Raw genomic sequence first — 12,881 nt, forward strand, 5'->3', positions numbered from 1 at the left:
AGGGACTTATGGTGAAAAAGCAATCTCTGCCCTCCAGCAACTCGCATTTTTTTTTTCCATGTCTGGAAATTGCTTACCCTAATAGATCTATCCTTCTGTCCCAGAAAAGAGAAGAATTTTAATACTATGTCGTCACTTACAGGTTAAGAATTCATCTACATATTGAGCTTAACTCACTCCAGAAATATCTACTAACTTGCTTGCTTTCTGAGAAAATGTTTATTATTTTACTGGATTCTGCAACCTTTTCTTTGTCAGTTACAAGAGAACATTTTTTTTTTTTATTTTTTTTTAAGATGCAGTCTTGCTTTGTCGCCAGGCTGGAGTGCAGTGGCACAGTCTTGGCTGACTGTAATCTCCGTCTCCCAGGTTAAAGCGATTCCCCTGCCTCAGCCTCCCATGTAGCTGGGACTACAGGTGCCCACCACCACGCCTGGCTAATTTTTTGTATTTTAGTAGAGACGAGGTTTCACCATGTTGGCCAGGATGGACTTTTTATTTTTTATTTTTTTAAGACAAGATAAGCTCCAGAAATAACCATCTGCATTTAGGTGAACTTTGATTTGCTTGTTAGGCCTTCATTCGTGCAAAGAAAGAGTAGGTTCTACAATTTTGTCTTGATTATTTTTCCAAATAATCAAATTTAGTTGGTCACAAAGGAAAGGATTTTAGTCTAAAGGATTATATTGTAGGAGTTAACAGTATTTACTGGAGTTAGGTTGATTTTGAATTTTGACTCTACTGTGTAGTGGTGGTATGATCTTGGCCAACTTGCCTAACTTCTTTTTGCCTTAGTTTTCTCATCTGTAAATTGGGAATAGTAATAGCATATATACATAGGTATTATGTGTTTCTGCTTGAACAAGACTTGGCTCACAGTGTGAAGTGTTAGTCGTTGTTTTCATTATCATCATTACCATCAACCTTATCTTTCTTAAAGTTATGATCTGAGTTCATAAATCATTCAGTAAACCTATTTAGGCTGAGCATTGTAAATTTAAATGCCTGCAAGGGCTGGATGAACATTTAGTAAGTAATGACAGATCAGACTGGGACTTTAAGTGAACTAGGGAATTCATTCCCCTCCAAGGGAGCAGCTGTTAAAGCAGCTTTGGCTTACAATTTTTTTTTTTTTTTTTTGAGACAGAGTTTCACTTTTGTTGCCCAGGCTGGAGTGCAGTGGCATGATCTTGGCTCACTGCAACCTCAACCTCTGCCTCCCGGGTTCAAGCAATTCTCCTGCCTCAGCCTCCCAAGTAGCTGGAATTACAGGTGCTCTCCACCACGCCTGGCTAATTTTTTGTATTTTTAGTAGAGATAGGGTTTCATCATTTTGGCCAGGCTGGTGTTGAACTCCTGACCTCAGGTGATCCACCCGCCTCGGCCTCCCAAAGTGCTGGGATTACAGGTGTCAGCCACCACGCCTGGCGTGATTTTTTTTTTTTTTTGAGACAGAATCTCGCTCTTGTTGCCCCAGCTGGAGTGCAATGGCGCAATCTTGGCTTACCATAACCTCCGCTTTCCGGGTTCAAGCAATTCTCCTGCCTCAGCCTCCCAAGTAGCTGGGTTTACAGGTGTGTGCCACCACGCCTGGCTAATTTTGTATTTTTAGCAGAGACGAGGTTTCTCCATGTTGGTCAGGCTGGTCTGGAACTTCCGACCTCAGGTGATCCGCCTGCCTCGGCCTCCCAAAATGCTGAGATTACAGGCGTGAGCCACCGCACCTGGCCTTTTTTTTTTTTTTTTTTAATGGAGGTAAAAGTAAGTATGTGAGGTTATGTATATGTTATTTAGCTCGATTTAGCCATTCCACAACATGTACATATTTTAAAACATGTTATGGGCTGGTCATGGTGGCTCATGCCATAATCCCAGCACTTTGAGAGGCTAAGGCAGGAGGATCTCTTGAGGCCAGGAGTTTGAGACCAGCCTGGATAACATAGTGAGACCCCATCTTTATTTTATTTCAATAAATAAATAAAACCTGTTTTACATGATAAATATATACCTTTTTTGTCAATTAAAATAATTTAAAAATACTACTTAAGGTCTTGGGAATACACTCACAATGTATTGGTAGTTAAAATTTTTTTTTTTTTTTTTTTTTTTTTTTTTTTTTTTACCAGTTGCTGTGGCTCACTTCTATAATCCCAGCACTTTGGGAGGCCAAGGTGATAGGATTGCTTGAGCCTCGGAGTTTGAGACCAGCTTGAGCAACATAGCGAGATCCCGTCATTATATTTTTCAAAATTAAAAAGGAAAGTTTTCAGAAGGTTAAAAAAAAAATTGAGGCAAAATTCACTACTTTAAAGTGTACAATTCAGTGTTGGCTTACTATTGACCTTGGGGAGAGTGCAGACCATGTGCAGACTGAACATCTTAATTTTTTTCTAAGGAGAAGCTAGAAATCAAGATTTTGTAAGAAATTTTTATTGTTAAATGTTGGCAACTTATGAATTCATAGTGTAAACACTGTGGGCCAAACAAATTACCACTGTGGGCAGAATTTGTCTTGTGGCTTGCTGCTTTACAACCTCTGATCTGGGGCTTGACTTTCTGCAGCATAACCCATGTTTTCTGCCCTCTGAGAAGAAAGTTCTTACCCACGTAAAGATTTAACCAGCCTCGGCAGCATGGTGAAACACTGTCTCTACAAAAAAGCCTCATAAAAATCAGCCAGGCATGATGGTGGTGTGCGCCTATTGTCCCAGCTGAAGTGCAAGGGTCGCTTAAGCCCAGGAGGTTGAGACTGCAGTGAGCTCATGTCGCTGCACTGATATCATGTCACTGATATGTCACTGCACTCTAGTCTGGGCAACAGAGTGTGACCGTGTCTCAAAAATAAATACATAAATAAATAAATAAATAAAACAGTTCAAACAATACCTCAAAGCAGTCTAGTACTGAATGAGAGGTATGTAGAATAATTATTAAGGCAGATAGAAGGAGGGAAGTTAGTTAGTTATTCAGAATATGCCAAGGTGCAGAGGCAGGAATGGACTTCAGGGGGTGGAGTTTAATTTTAGAGGATTTGTGTGAGCCTGGTAATAGGCAAAAGTTTTGAAAATTTGAGAAGAGTCAAGCCTCTTATTTTGAATAACCTTGAGACCTATTGGCTGATAGGATTAAATGGTATTTTGTGAAGATTTATTTGGCAAAATTGAGGTCTGTAGTATTTACTATGGTTGGAGGCAGGGAGACTAGGCTATGGAGGTGTCAGTGGGAATGAAAATAAAGGGGGAAAAGCTTGTATAAGAGACAAAAGGTTGCATTAAAGAGGGCCAATTTTGAAAGCTTTTTCTCTATTGACTTTTGTACAAACTGGGATATGGGAAGATACTGTGTACAGGCTATATTCCTCTTTTCATGTTGTGAATCTTGCTTTATCCCTTACTCAGTCCCAACAGTGTCCTTGTTGATGGATTACATACGTTTTCTTACGATTTCCCAGCTTGCACAAGTAGAATAGAAAGAAAAACCAGGCCAGGCATGGTGGCTCACACCTGTAATCCCAGCACTTTGCGAGGCTGAGGTGGGCGGATCACTTGAGGCTGGAGTTTGAGACCAGCCTGGCCAACAGGGCGAAACCTCGTGTCTACTAAAAATATAAAAAATTAGCCGGGTGTGGTGTTACACTCCTGTAGTCCTAGCTACTTGGGAGGCTGAGGCATGAGTATTGCTGGAAACAGGGAGGCGGAGGTTGCAATGAGCCGAGATTGAACTGCTGCACTCCAGCCTGGGCGACAGAGCGAGACCCTGTCTCAAAAAGAAAAAACCACCAAAGTAGTGTAATTGCTCATCACATTTCTTGTTTGGGGTTTTTGGTTATCTCGGTTAACCTCTGGTATATTTCATTAGACCTTAGTTTATACATTGAATTTTCATATTTACCAAGGTTTGGAAACAATGACAAATGGCTTGCTCTTAGAAAGATGTAGAATTTTCTTGCAGAAACTTGAGATAACTGATATGGCTGGGCGCGGTGGCTTACACCTGTAATCCCAGCACTTTGAGAGTCCAAGGTGGGCAGATCGCTTGAGCCCAGGTATTCAAGACCAGCCTGGGCAACATGGAGAAACCCTGTCTCTACGAAAAACACAAAAAATTAGTTGGGCATGGTGGCGTGTGCACCTGTAGTCCCAGCTACCCAGGAGGCTGAGGTGGGAGGATTACCTGGTCCCGGGAGGTCAAGACTGCAGTGATTTACCTGTGATTGTATCACAGTACTCCAGCCTAGGCAACAGAGTGAGACCCTGTCTCAAAAAAAAAAAAAAATTATGATTCAGAATGTCTGAAGAAACCAATAAATGTAGAAAGGTAGAATATGTTCAGCATAACCTGAGAAAGTGATTTTTAGGATGTTATTTTCTAAATAAGATTTAGATTTTGTTCTGTTTATACTTCTCATGAAACTTTTTTTTTTTTTTAACATACCTGGGAAGTTATTCCTCATTCTTGGCCAAATACAAAATGTCATTATTTTAGAGACTATAGTCTTTTTCGCAAGTAAGCTGAATAGTGTGTTAGGTATAGTCTGAGTATTAAGAATATCTGAGATCTGTATTAAAAACAGATGTAGGCCGGGCACAGTGGCTCACGCCTGTAATCCCAGCACTTTGGGAGGCCAAGGCGGGAGGATCACCTGAGGTCAGGAGTTCGAGAGCAGCCTGGCCAACATGGTGAAACCCCATTTGTACTAAAAATACCAAAAAATTAGCCGGGTGGGGTGGTGGCGCACCTATAATCCCAGATACTCGGTGGGCTGAGGCTGGAGAATTCCTGAACCCAGGAGGCAGAGGTTGCAGTGAGCAGAGATTGCGCCATTGTACTCCAGCCTGGGCGATGAGCGAAACTCTGTCTCAAAAAAAAAAAAAAAAAAAAAAAGATGTAAAAAAAAAAAAAGAATATCTGAGATATAGCAAAGTTTTTCTCATGGATGAATAAAAATACTGAACTGGGCCTTTAAAAAAGTACAGAAAATTGCCTGTCATAGAAATGCAGCAGTAGGGTCAAATGAGCTAAATCTAAATCTCATTTAATGAAAAAGGCACTTTCCTTTTATTTTTGAAGGATGGTCTAACCTAGTTTTTGGAATTCATTTGTTCTGCAATTAAAAGAGATTTTTAGGTGGTTCATTTAATTATAGCTGTTTTGGAAATGGGAAGGAAAATAATGTGAGAGAGAGATTAACTGCATTTGCTTCTGTGGAAAGTCAGTAGTCAAAAGGAGAGTCTGGATTATTTATTTATTTATCTAAAAATATGGAACACTTGGTGAATTTTAACCTTATCTTTGCTCAGAGGATGTACTAATCTCTGTGTTCTAATTTTTTAGTATATGTGCTGCTGAAGCAAACACACAGATTATTTTTTTCTGTTCTTAAGTTTTTTGGAGGAAAGCTATTTACTATAGGTCTTAATTAAAAACTATATTCTGTATATATTGAAATGTGCAGAACCCTGCTGCTGCTGTTTTTCGTTACCCAGAATGTTGCTTACATCTCTCTACTATCATCTTCTCTCCCTTTGTTTTAGCCCTTGGGGTTTATGTTTTTTTATTCCTTTATTTCATTTTTTTCTGAGGTTTTGGAAGGGAATGGAGAATGGGGTGTGTTCATTCTGCCTGGCTGGTTGATTTTATATAGAAATTGATGTTTTCATCTCTAAGGGACAAAGAAAATTAGGAAAATATCCTAGTTTTATTTTTATTGTGGTAAAATACACATTACATACAGTTTACCATTTTAAATATTGTTAAGTCTTCAGTTCAGTGACATTAAGTACATTTACCTTGTTATGTGACCATTACCACTATCGGTCTCTAGAACTTTTTCATCATCCAGAACTGAAACTTGTACCTATTAAACAATAATTATCCATTTCACCTCCTCCCTGCTCTGGTAACTACTATTCTGTTTTCTGTCTCTGTGAATTTAGCTATTCTAGGCACCTCATCGTAAAAGTGGAGTCATACAATATTTGTCCTTTTTTTTTTTTTTTTTTTAGACGGAGTCTCGCTCTGTCACCCAGGCTGGAGTGCAGTAGTGCGATCTTGACTCACTGCAACCTCCGCCTCCTGGGTTCACCCCATTCTCCTGCCTCAGCCTCCCAAGTAGCTGGGAGTACAGGCACCCGCCACCACTCCCGGCTAATTTCTTTTTGTGTTTTTAGTAGAGACAGGGTTTCACTGTGTTAGCCAGGATGGTCTCAATCTCCTGACCTCGTGATCTGCCTGCCTTGGCCTCCCAAAGTGCTGGGATTACAGGCGTGAACCACTGCACCCGGCCCCCCCCCCCCTTTTTTTTTGAGACAGAGTCTCGCTCTGTCACCAAGCTGGAATGCAGTGGTGCGATGTTGGCTCACTGCAACCTCCGCCTCCCAGGTTCAAGCAATTCTCCTGCCTCAGTCTCCCGAGTAGCTGGAACTACAGGTGTGTGCCACCACGCCCAGCTAATTTTTGTATTTTTTAATAGAGACAGGGTTTCACCATGTTGACCAGGATCGTCTCAATCTCTTGACCTTCCTCAGCTGGGATTACAGCCGTGAGCCACTGCGCCTGGCCAATATTTGTCCTTTTGTGTCTGGTGTATTTCACTTAGCATAATGTCTTCAGGTTTCATGTTGTACCATATGTCAGAATTTTATTCCTTTTTAAATGCTGAGTAATATTCCATTTTATATATTTTAGTAATTTTTTGAAGGACTGAATAGGCTCAAGTACAGCAATGACATATTTTTTGTTCATTTCCCTGTTATCTTTTTTGCTGTGAACTGTGATTTTAAATCATGAAATTAACATTGAACTATGCTAGAGATACTAGTTTTGGGCCACATCTTCTGTTCTGACCTTAGGTAATCCACTTTGCTTGGGTTGTTTGTCTTACTCAGTTGTAAGAGTTTATTGTAAATTCTGGATACAACTCCTTTATCAGATATGTGTTTTGCAGATTTTATCTCCTAGCCTATTGCTTGTCTTTCCATTTTCTTAATGATGTCTTTTTTTTTTTTTTTTTTTTTTGCAAAAATAGAGATGGGGTCTTGCATTGTTGCCCAGGCTGGTCAAACTCCTGGGCTCAGGTGATTTTCCTGCCTTTGCCTCCTAAGGTGCTATGATTACAGGCATGAGCCACCGGCCCTGCCCAAGAAGTTGAGTGCAATCAAAATTAGAAACTTTGACCCTTTTTTAATTTATTTTTGAGACAGAGTCTCACTCTGTCACCCAGGCTGGAGTGCAGTGGCACAATCGTGGCTCACTGTAATCTCCACCTCCCGGGTTCAGGAGATTCTCCTGCCTCAGCCTCCTGAGTAGCTGGGATTACACGTATGTGTCACTGCACCTGGGTAATTTTTGTATTTTTAGTGGAGATGGAGTTTCACCATGTTGGCCAGGCTGGTCTTGAACTCCTGGTCTCAAGTAATCTACCTGCCTCAGCCTTTCGAAGTGCTGGGATTACCGGTGTGAGCCACTGCGCCTGTTTGAAATTTCAACTCTTTAGAAGACATCATTAAGTCCAGGCATGGTGGCTTGCGCCTGTAATCCCAGCAGTTTGGGAAGCTGAGGCGAGAGGATCGCTTGAGCCCAGGAGTTGGAGACCAGCCTGGCCAACAAAGTCTACAAAACGAAACAAAACAAAAAAACAACTATCTGGACGTGGTGGTGTGTGCCTGTTTTTTTTGTTTGTTTGTTTTTTGAGATGGAGTCTTGTTCTGTTGCCCAGGCTGGAGTGTGGTGGCGCAATCTCAGCTCACTGCAGCCTCCACCTCCCAGGATCAAGTGATTCTCCTGCTGGGACTACAGGTGTGTGCCACCATGCCTGGCTAATTTTTTTTTTTTTGAGATGGAGTCTTGCTTTGTCGCCCAGGCTGGAGTGCAATGGCGCGATCTCTGCTCACCGCAACCTCCGCCTCCTGGGTTCAAGTGATTCTCCTGCCTCAGACTCCCGGGTAGCTGGGACTACAGGCGCACGCCACCATGCTTGGCTAATTTTTTGTTTTTTTAGTAGAGACGGGGTTTCACCATGTTGGCCAGACTGGTCTCAAACTCCTTGCCTCGTGATCCGCCCTCCTTGGCCTCCCAAAGTGCTGAGATTACAGACGTGAGCGACCGCGCCTGGCGTGTGTGCCTGTATGTAGTCCCAGCTATTTGGGGGAGAATGAGGCAGTAGGATCCCTTGAGCCCAGGAGTTCCAGGCTATAGTGAGCCATGATCACACCACTGTACCCTAGCTCTGTCAACAGAGCAAGTCCCTGTCTCTAAAAAAAAAAAAAAAAATGGAAAGAAATACTCAAAACACTCAATTTCTCAATTGTTTTCTTTAATGAATAACGTGTTTGGTGTCATATCTACAAAAATCTTTGCCTTACTGGACAATCAGTAAATCTTTCTTAGATTTCCATTTGTTTACCTGTGAGAACAAATAAGATGTATGTGGTATTTTGCCTTCTTTGGAATAGTATTTCTATTCTGTTTCTTTTTGAATTTAATCGGAGGGGCTAATCTTGGGATAGAATGCTAAGGTGAAAATCTACAGACTCAAATTGGAATGTAGAATTGACTTTGCTTTCATAATCCTAGTTGTTTCCTAATAGGTAAGTGGTAATTTGGTTCCTCTCCCCTTCCTAGTATTGAGGGCTCTTGGATGTAAACTCTTATTTGTGTCATTTTATTCTAGGTTTTTGACACAATCTGAATAACAATGCTTTTTGGCTCCTTTTAAGGAAAATGCATGAATTTTGTTAATAAAGTGCATATACATATTACTCAGTGACTCAGTATTGACTTTCAGTTTACTTGATAATTCTTTTTTCTTTTCTTGAGATGGAGTCTCGCCTTGTCACCCAGGCTGGAGTGCAGTGGCGTGATCTCAGCATACTGCAACCTCTGCCTCCTGGGTTCAAGTGATTCTCTGTCTCAGCCTCTCAAGTGGCTGGAATTACAGGCGCCTGCCACCATGCCCAGCTAATTTTTTTGTATTTTTAGTAGAGATGGGGTTTCACCATGTTGGCCAGGCTGGTCTTGAACTCCTGACCACAAGTGATCCACCTGCCTTGGCCTCCCAAAGTGCTGGGATTATAGGTGTGAGCCACCACGCTCAGCCAATAATTCTTTTTATTATTACTATTATTATTATTATTATTATTATTATTATTTTGAGACAGAGTCTTGCCTTGTAGCTCAGGCTGGAGTGCACTGGCATGATCTCTGTTCACTGAAACCTCTGCCTCCTGGCTTCAAGCAATTCTCCTGCCTTAGCCTCCTGAGTAGCTGGGATTACAGGCACGCACCGCCACGCCTGGCTAATTTTTGTATTTTTAGTAGAAACGGAGTTTCACCATGTTGGTCAGGCTGGTCTCAAACTCCTGACCTTGTGATCCGCCTGCCTCGGCCTCCCAAAATGCTGATATTACAGCCATGAGCCACCGCGCCCAGTCCTTTTTTAAATTTTTTTTCAGACAGGGTCCTACTTTGTTGCTCAGCCGGGAATGCAGTGGCATGATCATGGCTCACTATAGTCTTGACCTCTCGGGCTCTGGCGATGCTCCTGTGTCAGTCTCCTGAGTAGCTGGGACCACAGGTGCATACCACCATGCCTGGGTAGTTTATTTTTATTTTTTGTAGAGATAGTGTCTTGCTATGTTGCCCAGGCTGGTGTTGAACTCCTGGTCTCAAGCGACCCTCCTACCTTGACCTCCCAAGGTATTGGGGGTGGGATTACAGGCGTGAGCCACCATGCCAGTCTTGGGCTTGATAGATTTTTTTTTTTTTTTTTTTTTGAGACAGAGTTTTGCTCTTGTTGCTCAGGCTGGAGTGCAATGGTGCAATCTTGGCTCACTGCAACCTCCGCCTCCTTGGTTCAAGCAATTCTCCTGCCTCAGCCTCTCGAGTAGCTGGGATTACAGGTATGCGCCACCACGCCCAGCTAATTTTGTATTATCAGTAGAGACAGGGTTTCTCCATGTTAGTCAGGCTGGTCTCGAACTCCTGACCTCAGGTGATCTGCCTGCCTCGGCTTCCCAAAGTGCTGGGATTACAGGCATGAGCCACTGTCACTGTGCCTGGCTGATATATATATGTGTGTATTTATTATTATTTTTTTTAATAGAAATGGGGTTTCACTGGGTTGGCCAGGTTGGTCTCGGAACTCCTAGGCTCAAGAGATCCTCTCACCTTAGCCTCCCAAAGTACCAGGATTACAGGCATGAGCCACCAGGACTGGTCTGTAATTCTTTTTTTTTTTTTTTTTTTTTTTTGAGGTGGAGTTTTCACTCTTGTTGTCTAGGCTGGAGTGCAGTGGCACAATCTTGGCTCGTCGCAACCTCTGCCTCCTGGGTTCAAGCTATTCTTCTGTCTCAGCCTCCCGAGTATCTGAGATTACAGGCATGCACCACTGCACCCGGCTAATTTTGTATTTATAGTAGAGACGGGATTTATTCATGTTGGTCAGGCTGCTCTTGAACTCCTGACCTCAGGTGATCCACCTGCCTCAGCCTCCCAAAGTGTTTTTGGATTACAGGCATGAGCCACTGTGTCCGGCCTCTTTTTTTTTTTTTTTTTTTTAAGTCAAGTGAAGCAGTGGGAGTGGAGAAGGAACAAAGAAATCTGTAACTGGTTGTGATCAGTTAGTTGTAAATACCAGTGCAGCAGTTGGACCAGCCGAGGCCTGTAATTCTTTTTTTTTTTTTTTTTTTTGAGATAGAGTCTTGCTCTGTCGCCCAGGCTGGAGTGCAGTGGCGTGATCTTGTCTCACTGCAACCTCCGCCTTCCGGCTTCAAGCAATTCTCTTCCTCAGCCTCCTGAGTAACTGGGATTACAGGCATGCGCCACCATGTCCAGCTCATTTTTGTATTTTTAGTAGAGACGGGGTTTGACCATCTTGGGCAGGCTGGTCTTGAACTCCTGACCTTGTGATCCACCCGCCTCAGCTTCCCAAAGTGCTCAGATTATAGGCTTGAGCCGCCGTGCCCAGCTGCCTGTAATTCTCAAATAATGTTTAGAAATGATCTGAGGAAAGTTTGCTGGAAGGATGAGGCATGGTGGATATTAGGGTCTTTTTTTTTTTTTTTTTTTTGAGACGGAGTCTCGCTCTGTCGCCCAGGCTGGAGTGCAGTGGCATGTCCTCAGCTCACTGCAAGCTCTGCCTCCCGGGTTCTTGCCATTCTCCTGCCTCAGCCTCCCAAGTACCTGGGACTACAGGCGCCCGCCACCACACCTGGCTAATTTTTTTTGTATTTTTAGTAGAGGCGGGGTTTCACCGTGTTAGCCAGGTTGGTCTTGATCTCCTGACCTCGTGATCCACCTGCCTCGGCCTCCTAAAATGTTGGGATTACAGGCGTGAGCCACCGCACCTGGCTATTAGGGTCTTATATTTTGAGAATGTATAGATATTTAGAGATGGTCAGAAACAAGAAAATTTTTTTTTTTTAAGACCGAGTCTCACTCTGTCGCTCAGGTTGGAGTGCAGTGGTGTGATCTCAGCTCACTGTAACCTCTGCCTCTGAGATTCAAGCCATTCTCCTGCCTCAGCCTACCGAGGAGCTGGGACCACAGTAGGCACATGCCACCACGTCCAGCTAATTTTATGTGTGTGTGTGTGTGTGTGTGTGTGTGTGTGGTTTTTTTTTTTTTTTTTTTTAGCAGAGATAGGGTGTCACTATGTTGGCCAGGCTGGTCTCGAACTCCTGACCTTAGGTGATCCGCTCACCTTGGCCTTGCAAAGTGCTGGGATTACAGGCATGAAGCATCACCTCTGGCCAGAAACAAGGATTCCTTAGAGCCAGGAAATTCAACATTATATATAATTAGATGTATAATTTCACACAAGCATTGTTTGCAAGAGAACAATACTTATAGTAGTACAACAATATTTATATTTATTGTGGCAAATGCTTTAAACTCTAGCAGTAGTCAAAGCTAGAAACAACTTGTAATAATAGTTAATTTTGAAATGTTTGTCAGAAAGCTGTTTGTCAGAAAGGGGAAGAGATCACCTTCTGGAATATTAGGTACAGAGTTCAAACCAGCAAATGAATGCTAAAAGTTAGATCCTGGTGCCAATTTCCTTAAATTCTGTGTTCATACTGTTGAACCTCGAAAGTTGTAGCTTCCTCTTTTTCTCTTTGAACAGTATAATTGTCCTTTTTTGCATATGCTTTAGAATCCATACTGATGTATTTGGTTGGAAAGTGGGAAAGGAGCTTTTAGTGTTCTGAGATCATTGTGTGATGTTCAGAACCAAAGTGTCACTGTTACATGGTAGAGAATGGTTCATATTCTACCTCCTTGTTAAGTCAATTAAGTCAATTTTTCCTAGTAAATGGGAAAGCAACCGCCTTCCCTATCATGAGGGGTTTTGGGTTTCTTCCCACTTGCTTTGCTGAGAAATTAAATTATGGAAATGGGTATTTACCCTCTGCTCCAATCTAAATAAACTTTTATTCCTTCTACCAATACCTTCAGTAGCCCATGCACCAAAGTCGGCTCCTTTGTTTTTTTTTTTGTTTTGTTTTGTTTTTTTGAGGCAGAGTCTTGATCTCTCGTCCAGGCTGTAGTGCAGTGGTGTGATCTCAGCTCATGGCAGTCTCTGCCTCCTGGGATCAAGCAATTCTCAGCTTCCAAGTAGCTGGGATCACAGGTGCCTGCCACCACACCTGGCTAAGGTCCTTTGTGATTATTAGCAGAGAATGGGATCTAAAAATGTTCCTGTGTTCCTTCTAGCTAGTCTTTGCTACTGTGCCCCTAGATAATGGGATCTAGTTTTTCACTTGAGTAGTGTTTTTGGGAACATGACAGAGTAGCCCTGTCCAAGGGAGACATACTACTCGGTATGTATTTCTAATTTACCACACATGCTTCTGTATTTTATAGTAAGATTGTTTGAGAGT

At 42.4% G+C, this 12,881-nt stretch overlaps 1 protein-coding gene across 9 annotated transcripts in view; it reads left to right on the plus strand.

Annotated features, from left to right (window-relative positions):
• Positions 1-12,881, plus strand: part of ITCH (itchy E3 ubiquitin protein ligase) — a 148,501-nt gene that overhangs the window by 10,338 nt on the left and 125,282 nt on the right. The window lies entirely within an intron of this gene.

Source organism: Homo sapiens, chromosome 20 (assembly GCF_000001405.40).
Source record: "Homo sapiens chromosome 20, GRCh38.p14 Primary Assembly".
NCBI lineage: Eukaryota > Metazoa > Chordata > Mammalia > Primates > Hominidae > Homo > Homo sapiens.